At 48.9% G+C, this 27,392-nt stretch overlaps 1 protein-coding gene across 6 annotated transcripts in view; it reads right to left on the minus strand.

The window, feature by feature from the left end:
- The window catches only part of GNG4 (G protein subunit gamma 4), a 102,924-nt gene that overhangs the window by 25,879 nt on the left and 49,653 nt on the right, over nt 1-27,392 (minus strand). For 3 of the 6 annotated variants that reach the window (NM_001098721.2, NM_001098722.2, XM_047418084.1), the window contains exons 2-3: nt 21,837-21,948; nt 10,177-10,285 (exon numbers count right to left, since the gene is read on the minus strand). In NM_001098721.2, the coding sequence (NP_001092191.1) occupies nt 10,177-10,275 (99 nt within the window). In that variant the 5' untranslated portion in view covers nt 10,276-10,285; nt 21,837-21,948. Of the gene's footprint in view, nt 1-10,176; nt 10,286-15,433; nt 15,505-19,228; nt 19,248-21,836; nt 21,949-27,392 lie in introns of those variants that run through there. The other 3 variants (XM_011544167.2, XM_006711761.3, NM_004485.4) reach the window with 3 other exon arrangements.

The raw sequence follows: 27,392 nt of genomic DNA on the forward strand, positions 1-27,392 counted from the left end.
TCAGGAGATCGAGACCATCCTGGGTAACACAGTGAAACCCCGTCTCTACTAAAAATACAAAAAATTAGCCGGGTGTGGTGGCGGGCGCCTGTAGTCCCAGCTACTCAGGAGGCCGAGGCAGGAGAATCACTTGAACCCGAGAGGCGGAGGTTGCAGTGAGCCGAGATCGTGCCACTGCACTCCAGCCTGGGTGACAGAGTGAGATTCCATCTCAAAAAAAAGGAAAAATAAAAAAAGACTCACAATTGGAAATAACTGAAATGTCTAAGGATAGGAGACTGGTTAATTATTGTACATCGGGGGAAAATAGATATTAAAAATGACATTTTAGGAGAATATTTCCTGACCTTGTTATATGATCACAATATACTGTTCAGTGATATATCAGGTTATAAAAAAGCAATAAGTGTACATTATGGCCCCAGTTTTATAATAAATGTAAAACAAATATAGATGGAAAAACATCAAAAGGTAGTGGTTATAGACCATTCCAATTATCCTCTTTATACTTGTCAGCATTTTTCAAAAATTTTAAAAATAAACAAGTACCTAATCTCAGCACTTTGAGAGGCCAAGATGGGAGGATAACTTGAGGTCAGGAGTTCAAGCCTAGCCTGGACAACATGGTGAAACCCCGTCTCTACTAGAAATACAAAAATTGTCCAGGCATGGTGGCACAGGCTTGTAATTCCAGCTACTCGGGAGGCTGAGGCAGGAGAATCGCTTGAACCCAGGAGGCAGAGATTGCAGTGAGCCAAGGTCACGCCACTGCACTCCAGCCTGGGCAACAGAGAGAGACTCCATCTCAAAAAACAGCAACAACAAAAAAGCAAGTACCATTTTAATGAACAGAGAAGTAGTATCATTTTCAAAACAAGCATTAAAGGCCCCTGAAAAGGATATGACTTTTTCACATTCTCACTTCAACCCACCAGATGTTCTGCTTCTTTGTTGGAAGCGCTTTAAGTAAGCTCCATGCTTAGGTATGTGTTCGAGCCACTCTCATTTATTTATGGTTTTAAATAAATTATCAACGGAATAAAGAGAGTATATACGAGAAATATCTCAAAGACTTGTAAATTCAACTTTTGTGTCCTTGCATTTCCTATTTTTTTGATTATTTGTTCTCCTTTCTTTTAAGCACCAAATTATACCCTTTTAAAAAATAGCTCTTTCTCTTTTTCTGTTTTCTCTACATTTTTCTTAGTTTTTATGAAGGAAGATTGTTAATAACTGCCAGTATCTGTCACGACACAATCCTTTCTTTCTTTTCTTTTTTGAGATGGAGTCTCCCGCTGTTGCCCAGGTTGGAATGCAGTGGCGCAATCTCAGCTCACTGCAACCTCCACCTCCTGGGTTCCAGTGATTCTCCTGCCTCAGCCTCCCGAGTAGCTGGGATTACAGGCACACACCACCACACCCAGCTAATTTTTGTATTTTTAGTAGAGATGGGATTTCACCACGTTGGCCAGGCTAGTCTCGAACTCCTGACCTCGAATGATCCACCCACCTCGGACTCCCAAAGTGGTGGAGTTACAGGCATGAGCCACTGCGCCTCGCCACAATCTCTTTTCTTTGATGTCAGTATCTTTCTGCACTATCGCACTCTAAATACAGAGGGTCCCTGACGTACGATGGTCTGGCTGAATGATTTTTTCGAATTTACAGTGGCAGAAAGCAATACGCATTCAGTATGCTCCTCCACTTCCCATGGGGTCACATCCGCATAAACCCATCGTAAGTTGAAAATGTCGTAAGTTGAACTTTCAATTTATAATAGGTTTATTGAGAGGTAGCCCCATTGTAAGTCAAGGGCCATGTGTAGCCAGTTCTCCTGCGTTTCTTGGGCTTCAACTTTTAGTGCATCCATCACCTGAAATTCCTCTCTTCCTGCACTCATGTTTTCAGTAGTCTATAGAACGCAGGCCCAACAATATATTGATCTGTCAATACTCAGCAAATAAAGCCTGTGCTCACAAAATTAATCTCAGCCTAAGGGCAGCCCTTGTAGGAATTGTGAGCACACCCACCCCACGGATGTTGAAATTATCTCCCAGGACAAATGAGACTGGGCAGAATGTTCCTTGGCCAGTTTTCCTTGGCCATTCCATCAGTTGCTTCTAGTCCCTGGCTGAGAGTTGGGCTTGCTCAAGGGTGTCTGTCCACCCCAGAGCCTCATGAGCCACAGACATAGGATTGACCCAATGTCAGCAATTTCCCTTTCCTGTGGGGCAGGAGAATCAGGGCACCCTGAGGGATGGCACGTGGAAGGCAGCGTGGAACCCGCCTGAGAGCCTGTGTCCTGACTCTGCCTGGGAGCGCTGCACTTCACCCTTGGGAGAACGCCTTCTCAGTGGCTGAACTCTGCATTGTGGCTGTGCAGGCTGGCTTCAGACACTGTTTTCTCCAGTGAGGCCTCTTACACTCTGCTCAGCTCAGACCTGCCATAACCGCTTGTCGGATTTTCTCTATTTAATGATCAATGTCATATATGTACTTTTTTTTTTTTTTTTTTTGAGACAGAGTCTCACTCTGTTGCCAGGCTGGAGTGCAGTGGCGTGATCTGGGCTCACTGAAACCTCCGCGTCCCGGATTCAAGCGATTCCCTTGCCTCAGCCTCCCAAGTAGCTGGGACTACAGGCGCGTGCCACCATGCCGGGCTAATTTTTTTTTTGTATTTTAGTAGGGAGGGGTTTCACCATGTTGGCCAGGCTGGTCTCGATCTCCTGACCTTGAGATCTGCCTGCCTCTGCCTCCTAAAGTGCTGGGATTATAGGCGTGAGCCACCGCGCCCAACCATATATGTACTTTTCTAATAGAGTTTTAGATTGTTTGAACTTCTGATGGGTGAGAAAAAGAATAAGGCTATGATGGTATTCTTTCCCTTAGAACCCATATAGTTTCCAAAATTCATCTTTCATGTGCTCTTTATTTCTTTTTTAGAAACCTGGGTATTATTTTCCAAGCTTTGTGCTTTTTGTGAGGCTATACAGGTTCTATGGTGAATCCTCCTCATGCCTGCGACAACCTGGAGGACATTACTTGTTTTTAGCTGCTGATAAGAGTTTGCAAAGAACACACATCTTTGTTGGGAAATGCTTTGATGTGCTTCTAGGCAAGATGAAGAGTCACATGGAGTGGGGGTGGTAATTTGGGAGAAGGGCCAAGTAGCAGGGGATTCTCGATAAATATTAAATGAATGGAGGTAGGAAGGAGGTCTCTGAACCACACTGTGTGTGGGTTTAAGATCTTGCTGTGGGCTTTGTGGTGTAATGCCTCAATCTATATCCCCTACTGAAGTCTATATTTGCACTTGTGCTTTTGTGCAAATGGGGACAAGCAGAACTTCAAGACAATAATGAATATTTCAGCTACGTTTTTCCTCCATGAATCGTGCAAAGCTCTCTGAATTGGCACTATTACTCTTTCTTACTTCTGCAACCCCAGAACTGCTTAATGCAGTTATATTTTCCTTTCTCTTCCCAGTGACAGATGTCCCCTTATTTTCCTGGGCGGCAAATGCCTTCTTTTCCTTCCTTCCTCCTTAGAAACTCTCCTGAGCACAATAAGCTACAGAGCCTGGTGGTGGGCCCTATGGTTGGCTACATACCATGCCATCCCGGGGGCTCCCTTTTGGTTTCCTGCTGGTACCTGCCCTCGCCTGGGATGTCCTCTTTGGGTTCCCATCTGCCGTGCTCTCACCTGGAAGCCAGCTCTGTGGGCCTGGGAGTTGCCACGATTCCTACCATGGACCCTCCAGCTGGTTCCCATGCAGCCTGCCCTATCGTCGTGTGCACATTCACCTGCTAGGCATTCTCACTATGCAGTCAGTATGGGCCTGGCCTTTTCCTCTTCCTTGGAAAATCCATCTCAGTGTTTTCTTTTTTTTTCTTTTTAGGTAGAGTCTTGCTCTGTCACCCAGGCTGGAGTGCAATGGTGCAATCTCAGCTCACTGCAACCTCCGCCTCCTGGGTTCGAGTGATTCTCCTGCCTCAGCCTCCCAAGTAGCTGCGGCTACAGGCACGTGCCACCACGCCCGGCTAAGTTTTCTATTTTTAGTACAGATGGGGTTTCACTATGTTGGTCAGGCTGGTCTCAAACTCCTGAACTCGTGATCCACCCGCCCTGGCCTCCCAAAGTGCTGGGATTACAGGCTTGAGCCACTGCGCCCGGCCCATCTCAGTGTTGTCATCTGGCCCTGGTGTTTCTGACATGGTGTGTGCGAGTTCAGTGGATTCTAAAAACTGCTCCTCTCCTCCTTCCCCAGGGCTGCCCTCTGTCATTTCCTATCCAGCCTCCCTCTTTCCTTCCTCCTCTCTGGCAGTAACCTCGTACCCATCCCAGAAAGGCCATTGCCTTTCCCTGGTGACTTCCTCTCTCTTCCCTCCTCAAGGTCCTTGACGAGGTCATCGGGAGTGTCCTTGACAGCTCCCCTTTCTTTCCACATTCGTATAGTCTGGCTGATACCAAGATGCACCTTTTCTTTTTTTTTCTTTCAAGTCTTGCATCACATAGATTTTTCTGCAAAGCCACACTGTGCCCTGAAACCAGGGATGCCTAGGGCTGAAAACCATGTGTGAGCTTCATACTCATTAGGGTGACTATTATTAAAAAAACAGACATCACTAGATCATCAGGGAAATACAAATGAAAGCTACAGCAAGATATCACATCAAACCTGTTAGGATGGCAATTATCAAAAATACACAAGATGACAAGTGTTGCTGAGTTTGGAGAAAAGGGAACCGTGGTATGCCATTGGTGGGAATTAAATTTAGTACAGCCATTTTGGAAAACTGTGGATGTTTTTCAAAAATTAAAAATAGAACTACCATAGGATCCAGCAATCCCACTACTAGGTATATAACCCGAGGAGACGAAATCAGTATGTCAAAGAAAGATCTGTGTTTCTGTGTTCATTGCAGCATTAGTCAAAATAGCCAAGTTATGGAATCAACCTAAGTGTCTATCAGCGAATGAATGGATAAAGCAAATGTGGTATATTTACACAATAGAATACTACTGAGCCCTAAAAAAGAAGGAAATCTTATTACTTGAGAAAATATGGGTAACCCTGAAGGATATTATATTAAATGAAATAAGCCATGCACTGGACAAATACTGCATGATCTCACTTATATGTGGAGTGTAAAAAAGTCAAATTTATAGAAATAGAGAGTAAAATGGTGGCTACCTGAGGCTGTGGGGTGGTGAGATTAGAGAGATGTTGGTCAAAGGACACAAAGTTTCAGGGCTGGCTGCGGTGGCTTAGGCCTGTAATCCCAGCACTTTGGGAGGCCAAGGCAGGCGGATCACCTGAGACCAGGAGTTTGAGACCAGCCTGGCCAACATGGCGAACCCCGTCTCTACTAATAATACAAAAATTAGCTGGACGCGGTGGTGCACACTTGTAATCCCAGCTACTTGGGAGGCTGAGGCAGAAGAATTGCTTGAACCCGCGAGGCAGGGGTTGCAGTGAGCCGAGATCATGCCACTGCACTCCAGCCTGGGTGACAGAGCAAGACTCCATCTCAAAAAAAAAAAAAAAAAATTCAGTTAGAAGAAATAAATTCGAGAGGTTTATTGCACATCATGGTGACTACAATTAATAACAATGTATTGTATACTTGAAAATTGCTAAGAGAATAGGTTTTAAGTGTTCTCACCACAGAAAACTAAGTATGTGAGAGAATACATACATTAAATGGCTTGACTTAGCCATTCCACAATGTATGCCTATGTCAAAACTTCATGTTGTACACCATAAATATACACCATCCCCCTCAGTACTGTCGTCATGATAGTGAGTGACTTTAATTTTTACTTGTCAAAGTAAATACATTAATAAAAAAAAAAAAGTAAATACATTAATAAAAAAAAACCCAGAAAACAAGTGCTGGTCAGGATGTGGAGAAACGGGAATTCCTGTGCACTGCTGGTGATGACGTGACGTGATGAAGCCCCTGTGTAAGCAGCGTGACAGTTCCTCCAAAGGCTGAACATAAGGCCGGGCATGGTGGCTCAGGCCTGTAATCCCAGCACTTAGAGAGGCCGAGACAGGCAGATTACCTGAGGTCAGGAGTTCGAGACCAGCCTGGCCAACATATAGTAAAACCCTGTCTCTACTAAAAACAAAAATTAGCTGGGTGTAGTGGCTCATGCCTGTGATCCCAGCTACTTGGGAAGCTGAGGCAGGAAAACCACTTGAACTCAGGAGGCAGAGGTTGCAGTGAGCTGAGATCATGCCACTGCACTCCAGCCCAGGCAACAGAGTGAGACTCCATCTCTCAAAAAAAAAAAGGTAAAAAGGTTGAACATAGAGTTACCCTATGATCCAGCAATTCCACTTGTGGGTACCCAAAGGAACCAAAGTAAAGACTCCAACAGATACCTGCACACCCATGTTCCTAACAGCATTATTTACAATAGTCCAAAGGTGGAGATAACCCAGGTGTCCATCAATGGATGAATGGATAACAAAATGTGGTCTATCCATGCAATGGAATACAACTCAGCCCTGAAAAGGAATGATGTTCTGATACAGGCTACAACATAGATGGATCTTAAGGACGATAAGTTAAGTGAAATAAGACAGGAACAAAAAGATAAATACTGTATGATCCCACTTATATGAGATACCTAGTGTAGTCAGATTCACAGAGGAAAAAGGTAGAACGGTGGTCACCAGGCATGGGCAGGGCGAATGGGGAGTTGGCACTGAATGGGTACAGAGTTTCTGTGTGGGAAGATGAGAAAGTTCTGGAGGTGGATGCTGGTGATGGTTGCACAATATTGTGAATGTACCTAATACTGATGAATTGTACATTTAAAAATGGTTAAAATGATAAATTGTATGTTATATATATTTTACCACAACTAAAAAAATTAATGTTCAAGGGTGTCCAAGCAAGAAAAAAACAAAAACCACCCATGTGTGCTCACGCATCTTTGGCACAGATGCGGTTCCTAGGTTCAGCTCTCTCCTCAGGCATTGTCTCTTCAATGACAACATTCTGTTTCCACCAACTCTGTTTCTGAACCAAATCTGACACAGCTGTCACTGGCCTACTCCCTGGAATTACCACAGGATCTGAATTAGCCTCTGGCAGGCCCCCTGAGGAATCTTGCTTTCACGTTTCCATTATGGTCAGCACAGCAACATGGCGGCCTATCCCGTTTTTTGTTTTTTTTTTTTTTTTTTTCCTGAGATGGGGTCTTCCTCTGTTGCCCAGGCTGAAGTGCAGTGGCACAATCTTGGCTCACTGCAAACTCCACCTCCTGGGTTTAAGTGATTCTTCTGCCTTAGCCTCCCAAGTAGCTGGGATTACAGGCACACGTCACCAGACCCAGCTAATTTTTGTATTTTTTAGTAGAGATGGGTTTTCACCATGTTGGCTAGGCTAGTCTCGAACTCCTGACCTCAGGTGATTCACCTGCCTCGGCCTTCCAAAGTGCTGGGATTACAGGCGTCAGCCACCACATCTGGCCTGCCTATCCCTTTGATTGAATATCACCTGAGTAACTGATATGGTTTGGATCTGTGTCTCTGCCCAAATCTCACGTCAAATTGTAATCCCCAGTGTTGAAGGTGGGGCCTGGTGGGAAGTGATTGGACATGGGGGTGGTTTCTCATGAAGGGTTTAAAACCATCTCCCTTGGTACTGTTGTTGTAATAGTGAGTGAGTTCTCAAGAGATCTGGTTGTTTAAAAGTGTGTAGCACCTTGGGAGGCCGAGGCAGGCGGATCACGAGGTCAAGAGATTGAGACCATCCTCACCAACACGGTGAAACCCCGTCTCTACTAAAAATACAAAAAATTAGCCGGGCGTGGTGGTGGGCGCCTGTAGTCCCAGCTACTCGGGAGGCTGAGGCAGAAGAATGGCGTGAACCCGGGAGGCGGAGCTTGCAGTGAGCCGAGATCACACCTGGGCGACAGAGCGAGACTCCGTCTCAAAAAAGAAAAAAAAAAAAGGTGTGTATCGCCTCCCCCTTCTCTCTCTTTCTCCTGCTATGTAAGATGTGCCTGCTTACCCTTCACCTTCTGCCATGATTTTCAATTTCCTGAGGCCTCCGCACCCTCCGCCCTGAGAAGCCAAGCAGATACAGGCATCATGCTTGCTGGACCACCTGTGGAACCACAGGCCAATTAAATCTCTTTATAAATGACCCAGTCCCAGGGATTTCTTTACAGCAATGTGAGAATGAACTCCTACAGTAACTCATTTGTCTTTGACTTTCCTCTTTCTTTTAGTGACAGTGTGTGTGCCTAAGTGACTCTTGAAGAAGCCTTCATTCTTGAAGACACCCGGTCCTCACAGGGGCTCCTGGGGCGGTGTCTGTGGCAGGTGAAGATGCTATTGCAGAATTTATCTTCCTTGCCAGAAGAGAACGCCTGGGCAAAGGAGAACTGCCTTATAGCCCAAACTGGGGCCCACTGTCTTTTCAGGTCTCTGGCCATGGGGCTTGACAGCTGGATTCTAACGTCTCTCTCCCTAGTGCCTCCCACGTTTACTCTCCATGTTCTGTTGATTTTCTTGGTGTGTTTGCCTCCCCGATCGCATCTTTGCTGTCTGCTCCACACTGTACCCGATTTCTGCCCCTCCTTGCCTCTCTTGATTACTCAGAGCTTCAACTACCTCCTCACCTCTGACAACTCCGTCTATTGCTTACAGGTTGGTTCACCTCACACACCTGTCACCTCATGGCTGTGGCTTCCGCACCTGTGTGCATGGCGCCCTCCTCCCATAGCTCTCTTCCCAGCACAACCTGCAGCTCCTCCCGCTGCCCAGCTGCTCCACACGAGCCGTGATTAGCTCACACCGGCCTTTCCTCCTCCACTATCAGCTCAGAGCCAGCCATAGCTCACAACTCTGAGAAGTCTTCCCTGAGCCATACGGAGGAGACTGTCGCCTTCACATTTCTCTCCCAGGACCCTTCAAGTATAGATTAGGTGCTCAGCAATGCCTTTCACTGCAGTCCTCATCCTTTTTCCTGTCTGCACTTCTGGAGCACGGGATGCCTGCAGCTTTCATTTGAAACCCCTTTCTATGCTATTGGGACCCGCTGTGTCTTAGAATTGTTTTCTGGGTTCTAAACTTGCTCCCTCCTCTAGTCTAGAGACCAAGGACTGACATGTAATTTGCAGTTGGTATCGGTATGTATGAGATGTAGATGCTCTAGTAACATGGGTCCGGTGATACTGACTTACATCACGCTGGATTCCTTCCTTGCTTCATATACCCTCATGTAACTTTCCGTGCATATTTTCTGCCTCCTTGGAGAGGTTGTACCCCCAGAGCTCCAGGGGAAAAGAATAACTGTCCACACAGAGGTGAGTATTGGTGCTTTCTAGCCATACACTAGCATGAGGGGAGGGGTCAGGGAGGCTCTGTCCATAGAAGGCTTCAGGAGTCGCCCGTTGCCATGGATTCTGTGTTTTTTGAATCCCAGATGCCCAGGTGAGACCTCTGATTTGTGTTCCCCAAGACCACAGACACATGGAGCTTCCTGGCATCAGGTTCCCGACACCAGAGTTGGGGTTCCTTTCAACTCTATTACAGTCAACGAGCGTCATGCTCACGGACTCGTTCAGAGCCACATGCTTTGCCTGGCCTTCTGCTCACCTCTGAGTGGCATCTGGAGAAGAGGTGGCTTCATCTTGCTGCAGTCCTCCCAGCGTGGAGAGACCTGCACTCATCAGTGAAATGAATACAACGGGAGGTGTCTGGAACCTTTCTTCATTTTCACCAAAGGAATATTTGACACACCCAGGCATGGTTCAGAGCTCCACCCTCAACAATAATCCTGTCAAAATATCCGATGTTGTTGAACCTCAAAGGCACTGTATCACAGCAGAAAAGTGATTGATCTCATTGCTAAACTCTCTTTCTTGCTTATTGGCATGACAACGGAGCTAAATAGAGCCGAGATGAATTATGAGTCTATTTTTGGAGACTCCTTATGGAATTCATGCACACTGTGTATTTTGCATCCTTTGAATCCTTGGGCACACTTAGAACTGTGAAGCAAACACTCATTTGTAAATGTTACAGCTGCCAAGGTTGGCTGCATGCTCTGCTGGGTGACGTGTTAACTCTCACAAGTCTGCTTTGGAAGCAGGAGGAATGTTTTGAGCTGAGCTTCGGGCGGAGGGTGGGGCTGACGCATGCATGCTTACCTTGACCCTGTCCATACAGGCTTCCATCTTTAGCTGCTCCACAGCTTTCCTGGCTTGGGAGATGCTAGTGGTGCTGTTATTAGACATGCCCTCTTTCATTCTACTGCCCCTAGAAGTAACCAAAGTAAAAGGGTTAGAAGAGCTGCTCTTCCAAGGGTAGGGGAACCCCACCTCCCACCACCTACAGCTTCTCTGTCCAAGCCAGGGAGCATCTGGGAGCATGGACAGCATTTGGTAGAAAACCCTCCTGGGATAAGAGAAAGGAATGCCTCATTCGAGTAAGAGGAGCAAGACATGATGCTTTTGTTTGGAAAAACTTTCTCAGTCCCGGGGACAGTGAGAAGAGAACAGAAGGTTCCAGAATGACTTTTCCATCACCCCCACCACTGCCACCACCATCACCACCACGACCATAAGTAATGCTTGGACATTCGTATAGTGCTTTGAGTCATCATTCACTTTCACACACGTTTGCTCATTCATTGCTCTAGCAGCCCATACAGTTGGTGGGACAATATTAATTTCTATTTTGCAAAGGAAGAAAGTGCAAAAATCAGAGAAATTAAACCAATAGCCAAAGATCCTACAGCCAACATTTGTGGATCCAGAACTCAAACTCAAAGCTTTGAAGCCTAGCCGAGTGTCTCAAATGGCCTCTCCTAACAATCTATGGCTCATAACACACATTTCTAATGAATAAAATTGCTTTATTAATTTTAATTTGTTGTCCTTCCAAAAAGTTTACAGACTTTGTGTTGAGAGTTTGTTTTCAACAATAAACACACGCACAAACACACACTCTCTCTCTCTTTCTTCCCTATCCCAAGCATAGATTTATTTTCTAGAGGGAGGCAGAAGAAATTCTCCCTAACCCTACACACATTGATGCCCCGTGACTAAGACCAGTGTAGTGCTACCTGTTTCACAGAAAGCATGTGCTACACACATCACAATTGCAATTGCCCCGTCTAATGAGAATCTGCTTCAAAGGAAGCCTAAAACTAAAGCCTGAGAGCTGGGGACAGGTCACTGAGAGCAGAAACACAAGTGACACTGGCTCCCAAAGGTACAGATGAGGTGGGAAGAGGCCCTGGCCACCATCTATTATTCGTCTGCTTCTGTTTATATTTTATTTCAGTTTTAGGTTTTTTTCCCACCTCACAACTGTTGGACTTTATTGTATTAATTTAATTGAGTATGTAAAGCAGCAACCATACTTTCAAAGTTAAAATGATGCAAATTGATATTCACACAGGTGTCACTTTCACTGCCCATTCCAATCCTTTTCTCCCCTCCCACCTACCTCCTATGGGCAACCAATCACACTGGACTCCAGTCTATTCTTTCCTATGCTTCTTTTTTCTCCTTCCTTCCTTCCCTCCCTCCTTCCCTTCCTCCCTCCCTCTGGTCTTCCTTCCTTCCCATCACGTTGGACTCCAGACTATTCTTTCCTATGCTTCTTTTTCCTTTTCCTTTCCTTTCCTTTCCTTCCCCTTCCCTTCTTCCTTCCTTCCTTCTTTTTGAGATAGGGTCTCTGTCATCCAAGCTGTAATGCAGTGGTGCAATCACAGCTCACTGCAGCCTCAAACTCCTGGGCTCAAGCGATCCTCCTGCCTCAGCCTCCTGAGTAGCTGAGACTACAGGTGTGTGCCGCCATGCCTGGCTAATTAAAAAATTTTTTTTTGCTATGTTTCCCAGGCTGGTCCTGTGTTTATTTTCTTAGAAAGTAAGCAGTTACATATATGTTTTCTCATTTCTCCTTCTTTCTTACACAAAAAGATAACGTGTGTGTGCTTTTGAACTTTGTTTTTATATTTAGCAATACATTTTAGAAAGCACCACATATTAGTTCACTGATATGCAAAAAAGATCATACTCATTCTTTCTTAGAACTACATACTACAGTACTCCACTGTGTGGATATACTGTATATTTTTCAATCCATATATTTACGGGCATTTACATCTATATTCTCATATTATTGTGGGGGTGTGTCTTCAAGGTACATTTCTGGAATTACTGGGTCAAAGGTAAATGCATATTTACTTTTGTGATATATTACCAAATTCTATAAGGTAACATTCTGATAATTTTTGCATCAAGATTCTTAAGTAATTTTGGAATTCAGTACTATTCTTAAGTAATAAATTAAGTCATTTAATGCTACCTTCATCTGGTTTAAATATCAATGTTATACTTGCTTCATACAAAACATTTAGAATTTTTAAGAAATTTTCTATTTGGCCAGTAGGTTAGTGTATGGGACCCACTCTCTCTGTGGGTTTTAATCACATATGAACTAATTCTCTGGCCCAGAAAGGCATAATGGCAACTACATTTGTCCAAAGGCAGTTTTTGAAAAGTAAAATATTCTCGTTAGAAGACAGATCAGCCACCCAAATCAGAGTTTAATAGATGTGTGTCCTTATCTTAGTTTGGAACTTTAACTCAACAACAAGGGAAGGAGAATCACGACAAGTTGGGAGCTTTGAAATCCAAGGAACATCCCCTTCATCCCCCACTCAGCAGAACTGTGCACGCGTTCCTGCACATGTGTTGGTGTGTCCTTGGGTGTGTCTGTATGTGCCCACGTGCCTGCTCGTGCAGGCCTTGTGCCAGTCTGTGTGTGGCCATCTCTCCGTGTGTGTGTGTGTGCTGATGTGTGTCTGCGTTGCTGTGTGTCTACACAAAATGAGGGAGGAGACACAGTCTAGTTCCCAACCCTTCCCAGCTGATGCAATGAAAAAAGGACTCTGATGTGATTTGGATGTTTGTTCCCTCCAAATCTCATGACGAAATGCGATTCCCAATGTGGGAGGTGGGTCCTGGTGGGAGGTACTGGATCACGGGGCCAGATCAGTCAGGAAGGGCTCAGCGCCACCCTTTGGTGATAAGTGAAAGTCACTCTGAGTTCATCCAAGACCTGGTTGTTTAAAAGTGTGTGTCGCCTTCCTGCTGTCTCTCTTGCTCCCACTCTTGCTGTGTGATAGTATGGCTCCCCCTTCACCTTCTGCATGAGTGGAAGCTTCCTGAGGCCTCACCAGGAACAGATGCTGGCTGCCATGCTTCCTGTACCACCTGCAGGACCATAAGCCAATTAAACCTCTTTCCTTTAGAAATTACCCAGTATCAAGTATTCCTTTACAGCAACACAAAACAGCCTACTACAGACCCTACAGTGACTGCCTTCAAATCTTGATCCTGCTCTCCCCATTCTAGACTCCATCCCTCTCGCCCCTTGTCTTTGACTTGGGCATTTAGGAGTTGGGGGAGGTTCAGGGGAGGAGGAGGTAGAGTTTGGGATCAGCAGGGGTGAAGCCAAGAGGACATGGAGCAGGGCAAAGGGAGGAGGGGAGGGCTCTGCACTGTGTGTGAGGGAGTCTGTGGTGAGTAGGAGTGTGTGAAAGTGTGGGGTGGGGGTGAGCGTGTGAGAGTGTGTGGGGGTGAGTGTGTGTGACAGAAAGTATGTGTGAGGGTGTGGGTGAGTGTGAGTGTGTGAGGTGGGGTGTGTGTGATGACAGTGTATGTGAGTGTGTGTGAAGGTGTGGGTTGGGGTGTGTGTGAGGGTGAGGGGTGTGTGTGTGTGAGAGTGTGAGAGCATGTATGAGGGTCAGGGGTGGGGTGTGTGTGAGTGTGTGTGTGAGCACGTGTGTGAGCATGTATGAGGGTGAGGGGTGGGGGTGTGTGTGTGAGGGTGGGTGAGCGTGTGTGAGGGTACAGGGTGGGGGGTGAGTGTGAGAGTGTGGATGGGGGGTGGGGGTGTGTGAATGTGAGGTGGGTGTGTTGTGGGTGTGTGTCAGGGTGTGGGTTGGGGTTGTGAATGTGGGAGGGTGTGGGGTGGCGGTGAGTGTGAGTGTGGGAGGGCATGGGGTGGGGTGTGTGAATGTGGGGTGGAGTGTGAGTGTGGGAGGGTGTTGGGTGTGTGTGTGACTGTGGGGTATGTGTGCGAGTGTTGGGTGTCTGTGTGTGAGGGTGTGTGTGGGTGTGGGTCAGGGTTCAGGGTGGGGGTGAGGGTGAGTGTGGGAGAGTGTGGGGTGGGGGTGTGTGTGTGTGTGAAGGTGAGAGTGTGAATACAGGCACGTCTCAGAGCATGCGGGGTGAACGTGTGTGTAAGTGTATGGAGTGTGTGAGAGGGTGTGGGGGGTGTGTTTGTGTCTGGAGTGTGAGTGTGTGGGTATAAGTGTGAGTCCTTGAGGATGTGTGCACATGTGCACAGGTGGGTCATGTGGCGGGGAGGGAACAGCTAACGTTACCGGGGAAAGCAGCAGAGCCGACTCTCAGTCCCGTCAGGCCCCTGCAGCTGCGCCCACCTCTCTCCCTCCCAGGCGCTGTTCAGACGGCCCTGATCCCTCAGCCCTTCCTCATTCTTCCGCTGTTCAAAAGAAGGGCTCGTTTTCCACATGCCCTACCCTCTCCGCAGAGGAGAGTTCTGGCTGGAGGCTTCCTGTGGGAAGGTCCCACCAGCGCACTGTGCTTTCCTTGTTGTGCGCTGGAGATAAAATAAGCGGGTGGGTGACCCTCTGGGGGTTCCATCCCTCCATGGCCTCCCTCTCAGGCCCTCCATGTGCGTCCACTCTCCAGCCCATGTCTGCCACCCACAGCCGAGGCCCCTGGACCTGGCCCCCAGCGGGGGCTGTGCTCTCCGACCCCAGCTTCTCCCTCAGCCCCTTCTCTGCTGCTTCCTCCTCCCCTGGCTCCATACTTAGCCTCAACAGCATGACCCAACTACCACCACTGTCTCCCAAGAGCCGTCTGCTTCTCTGGCCCTTTCCTCTGTCCCTAAAACCTGCTTCGGTATGGACCCAACTCCTCCCCTCTCCACACTCACGAAGGGGCTGCTCAGCGCTGCTGGAGAGACCCCCCCCACTAAACTCTGCCCATCAGACATCCACAATCCAGCCTCTGCGAGGCCCTCAGAGCTACCTGGCAATAGGACTCCTTGCCCCAAATCATCTCCCCCTCCCTTCATCCTCTTCTTCCAGTCTTCATCACTTCCTCATCACCTCTGACCTTTCCTCCTCAGCAGAGGACCTCAGCCCCTCTGTCTACACAGAATGGCCATTAGCAGAGAACCCTCCTTAATGTTCCCCACCCCACCTACTCCACTCCACACCCACATCCATCCTTGCCTCCACTCAGGGCAGCAGCTCTTCCTCCACAGCAGAGCCTGTAGGACACCACCCACAGCTGCTCCCGACTTGCTGCCCTGCCGGCAGGGCCCTCCTTCCTCCCCAGGGGCTGACAATGGCAGACTCACTTTCTTGCCTCCCTTGCTGTAAGGCCAGAGCACGCGTGTCAGGAACATGGCTGTGCTTTGGTCAAGGATAGGCTGAGGTAAACATCCAGAGTGACTCAGCAAGTTTAGAGCGCAGGCGTATAACTCCACTTGTCATCACAGCCATATAGCCATAACATCGGAAGGCTCATCATTTGGCTCTAAGCCACTGTTGTTTGTAAAAGCTATTATTGCCCTGCTGACACTGTACAGGCATGCTGGCGCCCAGAGAAAGAGCCAAAGCTGTCCATTTTGCAGGTAGACAGGGGGAGCCAGGGCACAGCACAGTTCAGCTCGTGCCCAGAGAGAGAAAGAGTTAAGCTGCTGACCCCGAAGGCAGGGGAGAGTCGGCCATGCAGCTATGTGTGGGAGCTGGCTGCTGAGAGGAGCCACAAAGCCAGAGCAGACAGCTGAGTCAAGGCGGACAGTGTGAGAGAGCTGGTATGAGTCAGCTGCTGAGAGACCTGTTGAGTAAAACTACATTTCACCTGCTTATGGCCCCACGAGTGTTCCTTCAGCTACCTGCCCATCCGCCCACTCCCCTCGAACCTCAGCATGGGCTGGAACCTGACCCCAAGCAGGGCATTTGGTATAGTTGTGAACCTGACAACGTGACCTTGTCCTCCTCAATGGGACATCAGGGGAAATCTGCAGGGACTCATAGGGAGGGTTTTCCTCCCCGACGGAGGGACAAGGGGAGAAAGCTCTGTCTTTGGCCACCTTGAGTTGTGTTTGCAGCTGCCAGAGCCATAAAACCACTGGGGAATCAACCAAGGACACGGTCACTAGTCTAGTGGAGAAAATGACCTGGATCCTTGAGCTGGGTGGGTCCTTGGAAGTCTATTCCTGATCCTTGAAATGAGATAATGTACTCCTCATGGTTCAGGCCATATTTGTTGGGTCATCTGTCACTTGCAGCTGAAGGCATCTTCTCAGCCAAGGCTAACACTTCACAGGTCAGTAGACCGCTCCCCTCCCCAAGGGATCTGCCCTACACTCACCCCTCCATCCTGTAATGTCCACGTCTCTGGCGCTTTTCCTCCTCAGAATATGCAAATATATTTATGCAATCTGCACCTGACCATCTTAAAACAAGCAACAACATCAACAGTCTTCCCTCCCTGCAATCTTCTGCATTCTTGCTTAAGAAGGTGGAGAGGCTGGGTGTGGTGGCTCATGCCTGTAATTCCAGCACTTTGGGAGGCCGAGGTGGGTGGATCACCTGAGGTTAGGAGTTTGAGACCAGCCTGACCAATATGGTGAAATCCCCTCTTTACTAAAAATACAAAAATTAGCCAGGCATGGTGGTGGGTGCCTGTAGTCCCAGCTACTTGGGAGGCTGAGACAGGAGAATTGCTTGAACCTGGAAGGCAGAGATTGCAGTGAGCCGAGATTGCGCCACTGCACTCCAGCCTGGGTGACAGAGTGAGACTGTCTGGAAAAAAAAAGAAGGTGGAGAGGTAACCACAGATTCCCCTGAGAGGCCCCTCAGTAACTAAAGGAAGAGATTCTAATGTAAGGATGAAAAGCCGTCTTTCGGGAGCACTGGGTAAACAGGCCTGCTCCACGGTCTCTGCTCTGCTGCCCTCGGCTCACCCTGATTCTGTGTCTAGGACAGTCACCCTTGTTGCCCAGAGTGATCCTTAAGCGATTTCATGTGTGCGTGTTTGTGTTTTCTCTCTCCAAGGGGCTGCTCTGGCTTCTCCCAGCACTGTGGCCCTGCACACCTGGACGTCCGTATTTTACAATCTCCCAGGCTGATTCTGGCCCGTACCAAAGGAGAGCACCACTGCTGGCTGTGAGCCACTTCTACTTCGTGATTCCTTAGTGTCCAAATTACCTTGCATGGGACGCATAGGATGTCTCATGTACCTTAGGGGCTGTCTCAACTAGTCCTTTTTGAATTTTAACGTGCATATGAATCACCTGAGGATTTTAAAATGCAGATTTTGATCGAGTGGCTCTGGGGTAGGGGCCGAGATCCTGCGCTTCTAACGAGCTTCGTGAGGCTGCTGGTCCACGGACCACACTTTGAGTAGCAAGGCTCTGAATCACTGACTGTTGGTATTGCAGGGGAACATGGAGGTCCGGTTCCAATCCTCTTATTTTTCAGATAAGGAAATATATTCAAGGAGGTTAGGTAACATAATTTCCCAGCGCTCCTCAGCAGGAGTGGAAGGAAGCACTGCTCCGCCACTGCTCCTGGCTCATTACCCACCTTGGCCTAGTGGCGCTTAGGATTTCATCCCCCACACTTGGTCTGTCCTGCTCTCCTGGAACAGACTCATCCCCTGGGTGATCCTAACCTTGCTTAACCTGGGAGTGAGGTGTCAGGAGGGAGCCCCTTCCCTGAGGTGGGCAAAAAAAGCAGGAAATCCCTGGTGGGGGAGAAGGTAATGGCTTTTGCCAATGGTGCTGAAGACAACCACATGCTTTGAAGATAGAGCCCTATAAGAAGGTTTCGGAGGTCCTGCTTCCCCTACCTGGCCAGGTACCCTTTAGGCTCCACCTGAATAACGCCCCTGCCTTTCTGAGACTGTCTGGATGCTATATGTACTTCCATGGGGACTCAGGTATGCCTCCCTGCACAGACATTCATGCGTCTGCACATCCCACCTGGACCCAAGAAGAAAAATGGAAGTAGGAACAGAGAGGAGCTGCAACAAATCTCCACACGCACACTGGCTACCGGCAACACTGACTGGGCTCTCGGCTTTCCAGAAGATGAGGCAAGGGGGAAAAGGGACCATTTGCTTAGGGGTGGCACCTGGGGCCACGTGCTCACACAGCTCTTTCTTCCCAGGTATACAGGAATGTGCTCATGCACATAGGTCGCACCGGGGGTTTCTTGAGATGCAGCAGAGAACCCGTTGTACGGGTCTGTGGGACCCCCAGCAGGGAAATAAAGGAAAATCTTGAGTTCCTTCAAGGGAAATTCCAAGCTAGCACCAAGTTAGCCCTGAGAAGTAAATAAGTGACTTGATAAGCAAGAAGGTAATAGTAGCTTAAAACAATAGCCAAGGAAGCTAGAATTACGAGATGTTTGGTTTCCCTATAGAAACTAAAGATAACATCTTAACATATGTCTCTGAGTTGTTTTTCAGAAACCCGGCCCCCTACGGAATGAATCAGCTGGCACAGAGACCTCAGATGAGGGGGAACTGAGGACTCAACTCTGACTGCTGCTTTTGGTTCTAAATTTCTTCCTGGGCCGGGTACAGTGACTCACACTTGTAATCCCAGCACTTTGGGAGGCCGAGGCAGGTGGATCACTTGAGATCAGGAGTTCGAGGCCAGCCTGGCCAACATGGTGAAACCCCGTCTTTACTAAAAATACAAAAAAGATTAGCCAGGCATGGTGGCACGTGCCTGTAATCCCAGCTACTCAGGAAGCTGAGGCAGGAGAATTGCTTGAACCTGTGAGGCACAGGTTGCAGTGAGCCAAGATCACACCACTGCACTCCAGCCTGGGTGACAGAATGAGACTCTTATCTCTAAATAAATAAATAAATTTCTTCCTGAGGGTCCTGGAGGGAGTCCTGCCCACAAGCCAGAGCTAACATTTTTTTTGCCGACCCCAACATTTTAAACAAAGCTTCTTTTCCTTAAGTGATTGCAAATCAGAAGATCTTTAAATCCATCCACGACCTGTAACCCCTGGCTTGAAGATAGCCGCCCTTTTCGGTCAAAACCACTGTGCAACCGCCATGTGTCGATTTTACAATCTTACCTGTAACTTCTTTCCTGAAATGTACCTCCGACTTTAAAAACCCTTACCTGCAAGCTACTGGTCAGGATTTGAGCATGAGCCGCCGGGTCCTCCTTGCTTGGTGCCCAGCAATTAAACACCCTCCTTTCTTCCACTGCAACACCTCGGTGTGGATATCTGGTCTTACCACGCTGGGCAAGCAGACCCCGGTTTGCTCTGTAACATTTTTTTTTTTTTTTTTTGAGATGGAGTCTTGCTCTTTTACCCAGGCTTGGAGTGCAGTGGTGCAATCTCTGCTCACTGCAACATCCACCTCCCAGGTTCAAGCAATTCTTCTGCCTCAGCCTCCTGAGTAGTTGGGATTACAGGTGCGTACCACTATGCCCAGCTAATTTTTGTATTTTTAGTAGAGATGGGGTTTCACCATGTTGGCCAGGCTGATCTTGAACTCCTGACCTCAGGTCATCCACCCGTCTTGGCCTCCCAAATTGCTGGAATTCAGGCATGAGTGCCTGCATCCGACCATGCTCTGTAAAATTCTGATGGGCTGCATCTTGCAGCACACAACTCAGTAAATACAAAGTTGGGGCTGGGAGACCAATGCAAGGCGGTTCCATCCCCAGTGCTTCTGACCTGACCTGACTCACGGCACAGTACTTAGAATTTCTGGAAGCCAAATGTCATTGTGCCTTTGCAGCCATCCTCCCCAACTACGACTTCTGTCCATGAGCACTTGACAAGTATCTGTAGGCAGAATACTACAGCCGGCCTTCCGGACAATGCCCAAAAGACAGCTGGGTCCGGAATTGGTGGGTTCTTGGTCTCACCAACTTCAAGAATGAAGCTGCGGACCCGCGCCGTGAGTGTTACAATTCTCAATTCTTAAAGGCGGCGTGTCCGGAGTTTGCTACTGCTGATGTTCGGATATGTTTGGAGTTTCTTACTTCTGGTGGGTTCATGGTCTCGCTGGCTCAGGAGTGAAGCTGCAGAGCTTCACGGTGAGTGTTACAGCTCTTAAGGCGGCGCGTCTGGAGTTGTTCCTTCCTCCCAGTGGGTTTGTGGTCTCGCTGGCTTCAGGAGTGAAGCCGCAGACCTTCGTGGTGAGTGTTACAGCTCATAAAGGCAGTGGGGGCCCAGAGTGAGCAGCAGCAGAATTTGTTGCAAAGAGCAAAAGAACAAAGCCTGCACAGCGTGCATGGGGACCCAAGCAGATTACCCCAGCTGGCGCGGGCAGCCTGCTTTTATTCTCTAATCTGGCCCCACCTACATCCTGCTGAATGGTCCATTTTACAGAGAGCTGATTGGTCTGTTTTACAGAGAGCTGATTGGTCCGTTTTGACAGGGTGCTGATTGGTGCGTTTACAATCCCTGAGCTAGACACAAAAGTTCTCCACGTCCCCACTAGATTAGCTAGATACAGAGTGTCCACACAAAGGTTCTCCAAGTCCCCACCAGCGTAGCTAGATACAGAGTGTCGATTGATGCATTCACAAACCCTGCAAACCCTGAGCTAGACACAGGGTGCTGATTGGTGTGCTTACAAACCTTGAGCTAGATACAGAGTGCCGATTGGTGTATTTACAATCCCTTAGCTAGACATAAAGTTTCTCCAAGTCCCCACCAGACTCAGGAGCCCAGCTGGCTTCACCTAGTGGATCCCATCTGGGGCCACAGGTGGAGCTGCCTGCCAGTCCCATGCCATGCGCCCACACTCCTCAGCCCTTGGGTGGTCCATGGGACTGGGTGCCATGGAGCAGGGGGCGGTGATTGTCCAGGAGGCTCAGGCCGTGCAGGAGCCCATGGTGGTGGGGAGGCTCAGGCATGGTGGGCTGCAGGTCCCGAGCCCTGCCCCGCAGGGAGGCAGCTAAGGCCTGGTGAGAAGTTGAGCACAGCAGCTGCTGGCCCAGGTGCTAAGCCCCTCACTGCCCGGGGCTTGCGGGCCGGCCGCTCCCAGTGCGGGGCCGCTAAACCCACGCCCACCCAGAACTCACGCTGGTCCGCAAGCACCGTGCGCAGCCCCAGTTCCCGCCCGTGCCTCTCCCTCCACACCTCCCTGCAAGCTGAGGGAGCCAGCTCCCGCCTTGGCCAGCCCAGGAAGGGGCTCCCACAGTGCAGCAGAGGGCTGAAGGGCTCCTCAAGTGCTGCCAAAGTGGGAGCCCAGGCAGAGGAGGCGCCGAGAGCGAGCAAGGGCTGTGAGGGTTGCCAGCACGCTGTCACCTCTCACAGCTATCCCTGAGCCTGAAGGGACCCAGCAGCTTAAACTGCGAGTGGGGAGGAAGTGAGTGGTGGACCTCCTTTCATCCTTGCTGAACAAGGAAGCTCACTGCAATAGCATCTCTTTTCCCACAGGGAAGCACACAGCACGGTTCCCCAGCCAAGGCCCAGCAGCCCTCGGGGATGGCTCAGTTCTCCTCCCCTGCTCCCCCAACAGGTGCACATCCATTCACATAGGGGATAACAGGAGGTGGCAAAAGGTTTCTAAGGGCCCCGTGTCTGCCGTGGAGGGTGGGAGAAGGGGACAGGACAGTGATGATTGCTAGAAGAAAGTGATGCTGTGAGGACCTGGCCACCATCAAGGATCCTGAGAACTGAGTCTCACCCCAGCCCACACACATGCTCCTGGCGAAGACACCTGCTGTCCTCCTGCCCCTACACAGGGTAAGTCACTCTCCTTACCTGCTGAGAGGCAGCCGTGTGACAGGCCTGGGCAAGGGACAGAGGCTGGCGGTGGCAGCAGCTGTCAGTCGTCAGATGAGAGGTGAATTCAGAGCTTCTGCTTTGAGGTCACCTGAAAGCACAACCAGAGACATGTCTAGAGGTGTGGGGACTCCCTGGCATTGCTCCCAGAGTCCCCATCCACCCTGTCCCATGGTTCCCCTCTCCTCAAACTCAGCAGCCTTCCCCAAAAGCCTGGGGACTCCATATCAGACCTTGGGGAGATGGGGAGCTCGAGGCAGACAGAGAACCCTCAGATCTGACCCAGAGCAGACTGGAAACACAACTTCAGGGCCACAGGCCACCCCGGGCCTCACCAGACTGCTCCCCTGGACCCTGCAAACCTTCATGCCCAGTCGCTCTGCCCCCCAACACAAGGAGCCCCAGCTCCAGCCAAACCTATGCCAAATGGAAACAGGTCACGTGTTTTCTTCTTATAAAAATATACACTTGGGGCCGGGCGCGGTGGCTCATGCCTGTAATCCCAGCACTTTGGGAGGCCGAGGCGGGCGGATCACGAGGTCAGGAGATCGAGACCATCTTGGCTAACTGGGTGAAACCCCGTCTCCACTAAAAATACAAAAAATTAGCCAGGCGTGATGGTGGGCGCCTGTAGTCCCAGCTACCTGGGAGGCTGAGGCAGGAGAATAGTGTGAACCCGGGAGGCGGAGCTTGCGGTGAGCCAAGATCGCTCCACTGCACTCCAGCCTGGGTGACAGAGCGAGACTCTGTCTCAAAAACAAAAACAAAACAAAAACAAACAAACAAAATACACACACACACACACACACACACACACACACACACACACACACCTGGCCGGGCGCAGGGGCTTATGCCTGTAATCCCAGCATTTTGGGAGGCCGAGGTGGGCAGATCAACTGAGGTGGGAAGTTCGAGACCAGCCTGACAAATATGGAGAAACCCTGTCTCTACAAAAAATACAAAATTAGCCAGGCGTGGTGGCACATGCCTGTAATCCTAGCTAGTTGGGAAGCTGAGGTGGGAGAATCATTTGAACCCGACAGGCAGAGGTTGCGGTGAGCCAAGATCATGCCTGGGCAACAAGAGCAAAAAACAAAACAAAACAAAAAAACACCTATTATCAAAAAATGTGCAGATAAAGATAATTACAACAAAGAAAATAAAGACCAGTGATAATGCCTTTTCCCAGAGATAACTATGGTTAGCCTGTTGATGTATAATATACTTACATGCATTAGAAATTTGATTTCAACCAAAGGACATTTAGCATAGAAGAGATCAGACGACTCGAAAGCTCTTTTTTTTTAATATTTATTTTTTGAGATAGGGTCTCGCTTCGTTGCCCAGGCTGGAGTGCAGTGGAAAAATCACGGCTCACTGTAGGCTTGAACTGGGCTCAAACGAGCCTGCCACCTGAGCCTCCTGTGTAGCTGGGACTACAGGCGTCCACTACCATGCCTGGCTAATTTTTACTTTTTTTTTTTTTATTTTGTAGAGACGGAGTTTCACTATGTTGCCCAGGCTGGTCTTGAACTCCTAGGCTCAAGGGATCCTCCCACCTACGGCCTCCCAAAGTGCTGGGATTACAGCCATGAGCCACTGTGCCTGGCCTTTGAAAGGTTTCTTACAGCCCATTCAAGACTCATAGCCCTGTTCGCCTTCCCTTTGCAGCCATCCTCCGTAACTGTGACTTCTCCAGGACAGTCTCTCCAGGATGGCTGACTCTGGGGTAATGAGTTCATTCCCCAAGGGTTTTCCGAATGCTCTGCCCTACGGCATCCATCTCCGAGGCATCCTAATGAACTTGGAGCAAAGCTAAAAGCCCGACAAGAATAAGCTGACAGACCTGTTTGCTCCCCTGGCTAAAATGGAATCCAAATTCATTTTGGCCTCAACTTCAGGGGAGATGGTTTGAAGTTGTGCTTGGTGCATTTTTCTCAGCCTGTGCTATGGTCAGAATGTTTATGTCCCCCCTACCCCCCCCAAATTCCTATATTGAAATCCAAAGCCCCAAGGTGATGCTGTTAGGAGGTGGGACCTCTGAGAGGTGGTTAAGTCATGAGGATGGAGCTCTTATGAATGGGACTCATGATCTTGTAAAGAGCTCTGACAGAGATCCAGGAATGCTTTATGTTTTAGTTTGTTTTTTTTTTTAACTTGTTTGCTGTGTGTGTGTGTGTGTGTGTGTGTGTGTGTGTGTGTGTGTATTTTTTTTTTTTTCAGATGGAGTCTCACTCTGTAGCCCAGGCTGGAGTGCAATGGTGCGATCTCAGCTCACTGCAAACTCTACCTCCCAGATTCAAGTGATTCTCCTGCCTCAGCCTCCCAAGTAGGTGGGATTACAGGTGCCCACCACCACACCTGGCTAATTTTTTTTCTATTTTTGTAGAGACAGGGTTTCACCATGTTGGCCAGGCTAATCTTGAACTCCTGACCTCAGGTGATCCACTCACCTCCCAAAGTGCTGGGATTACAGGGGTGAACCACTGCACCCGGAGTTGGTTTTGTATTTTAATATAACAGTGCTTCTTCTACTTTTCCACCACATTCTGGGGAAAACAGAACCACTGAGGCAACTGGCTTCCCTGACTCTGGCTACCCAAGACCCCACCCAGAGGGCTGAGGTGCTGGATCAAGGCTGTACCTGTAGGTTGCACACTACACTCCCCAGCCCACTGTGGGGAAGCTGTTCTCTACCATCGGTTCCCCAAATTTGGTTGGGATCAGAATCCTCTGGGAATGTACAGAGACTAAGGCCCTGCTCTACCCACCTCCATGACCTTAGAGTTCTGTCTTAGCTCTCTTGGAGATTATGATAAAACCACTGCTCTATAGGCAACCAGAGCTTCTCAGACTTTGCTGTACATCTGAACCACTAGGGGGACTTTTAAGGATCCCGATTCCAGCTGGGTGCAGTGACTCACGTCTGTAATCCCAGTGCTTTGGGAATCTGCAGCGGAGGATTGTTTGAGCCCAGGAGTTCAAGACCAGCCTGGGCAGCACAGTAAGACCCCATCTCTACAAAAAATTTAAAAATTATCTGGGTGTGGTGGCACACGCCTGTGATCCCAGCTATTCAGGAGGCTGAGGCAGGAGGATCGCCTGAGCCTGGAATTTTGAGGCTGCAGTGAGCTGTAATCATGCTACTGCACTCCAGCCTGGGCAACAGAGACCCTTTCTCAAAAAACCCCAAAAATATAAAATTAAAAAAATAAAGATCTTGATGCCCAAGTCAAACCCCAGGCCCTTTAAGCCACAATCTCTGGGGGAGGACTGAGGCATCAGTGGAAGTTGAAGCTTCCCAGGTGATTTTTTTTTTTTTGAGACAGGCTCACTCTGTTGCCCAGGCTGGAGTGCAGTGGTGTGATCTCGGCTCACTGCAACCTCCGACTCCTAGGTTCAAGTGACTCTCCTGCCTCAGCCTCCCAAGTACCTGGGATTACAGGTGCATGCCACCATGCCTAGCTTAATTTTTGTATTTTTAGTAGAGATGGGGTTTCACCATGTTGGTCAGGCTGGTCTTGAACCCCTGACCTCAAGTGATCCGCCTGCCTTGGCCTCCCAAAGTGCTGGGATTACAGGCATGAGCCACCACACCCGGCCTTCCCAGGTGCTTTTAATGTGCAGCCGCGTTTGAGACACACTGCTCAAGTCTGCATCTAGCTGGAGCATCCCACACTTTGGTGTGTATGTCATGAAACCCGTATCTCAGGCTCTCACTCAACAGGACTGGCTGGGACCTCGGGGAGGCTGCATGCTGCTACTCACAGCCTGGTGGGAGACATCAGCTTCAGTATCCCCTGGAGCTCGTTAGCAATGCAGAATCTCAGGTCCTACCCAAACCTACGAAGTCAAATCTGCGGGTTTTTTTGTTGTCGTTGTTTGTTTTTTGGTTTGTTTTTTTTTTTTTTGAGACAGAGTCTCGCTTTGTTGCCTAGGCTGGAGTGCAGTGACGCGATCTTGGTTCACTGCAACCGCCGCCTCCCGGGTTCAAGCGAGTCTCCTGCCTCAGCCTCCCGAGTAGCTGGGATTACAGGCGCGAGCCAACACGCCTGGCTAATTTTTGCATTTTTAGTAGAGACGGGGTTTCACCATGTTGGCCAGGCTGATAACAAACTCTGACCTCAAGTGATCCGCCCACCTTGGCCTCCCAAAGTGCTGGGGTTACATGTGTGAGGCATTGCACCCAGCCGAATCTGCGTTTTAACCCAGGTGATTCAGGTTTACGTTAGAGTTTGAAAAGTTCTGAGCTAGACCAGCAGGGCCCAGTCCTGCCTTATGCAGGGTCCAAGATGAAGAGCCTGGCTGAAGACACGTGGGTCAGTCATAACAGTGGTGGACAGCAGAGGTGCTGTTCTCCTGACCCTTAATGTTATTCACAGCCCCATCAGCTTTTTAGATTCCTCTTTTAGATAACTTACTAACTCTAGAAGCTCTTTGAGAGGCCACACATCAGAAAAGACACTATCAATTTCTCCTTGTCCTCCTGGCATTTGCATAGCATCTTCCATCCAACGCTTGAAATGTATTTCAGATGTCAACCCACCAGCCTACCCCAGGAAGTGATTTTAGACACCTTCCCTGTATCATTGCTATTTCTCAAAATAACACAGATTGTTGGAGCTGATGGGAATTTAGCTCTTGACTGGATTCCTTTATCTGGTTGCGGAAGAAAGCTTTTTTTTTTTTTTTTTTTTTTTTTTTTTAGACAGGCAGAGTCTCACTCTGTCGCCCAGGCTGGAGTACAGTGGCACGATCTTGGCACACCACAACCTCCACCTCCTGGGTTCAAGAAATTGTCCTGCCTCAGTCACTCGAGTAGCTGGGATTACAGGCATGTGCCACCATGCCCAGCTAATTTTTATATTTTTAGTAGATATGGAGTTTCAACATATTGGCCAGGCTGGTCTTGAACCCCTGACCTCAAGTGATCTGCCCACCTTGGCCTCCCAAAGCGTTGGGATTACAGGCGTGAGCCATGGCGCCTGGCTTTTGTGTGTGTGTGTGTGTGTGTGTATATGTGTGTGTGTGTAAGAGAGAGGGTCTTGCTCTGTCACCCAGGCCGGAGTGCAGTGGTGCAATCATAGCTCACTGCAGCCTTAATCTCCTGGGCTCAAGTGATCCTCCAACCTCAGCGTCTGGAGTAGTTAGGACTACACCCAGCTAATTTTTAAACTTTTTGTACAGACAGGATCTCACTGTATTGCCCAGGCCGGTTTTGAACTCCTGGCTCAAAGGATCCTCCCACCTTGGCATCCCAAAGCATTGGGATTACAGGCATGAGCCACCACTCCTGGCTGAAAGCTGCTTTTTAATAGCACTAAATTTTACCATGATGTTTTCAAAAGCTTTTCTTCCCTCTCAAAAGAAGAAAATATATTCATCTTTGAAAAAATTGCTGTGTTTCATTGTGAGGTAGTGGGAAGGCCCACTGGCTGGCCATGAGCTAACTGGGAGCCCCTCAAGGGCAGAGGCCTTGTTTTTTTTAGCTTCTGTGCCCCCATTGCCAAGATAGGGCGGGCACGCCGTAGC

This window comes from Homo sapiens, chromosome 1 (genome assembly GCF_000001405.40).
Source record: "Homo sapiens chromosome 1, GRCh38.p14 Primary Assembly".
In the NCBI taxonomy this organism is placed as follows: Eukaryota; Metazoa; Chordata; class Mammalia; order Primates; family Hominidae; genus Homo; species Homo sapiens.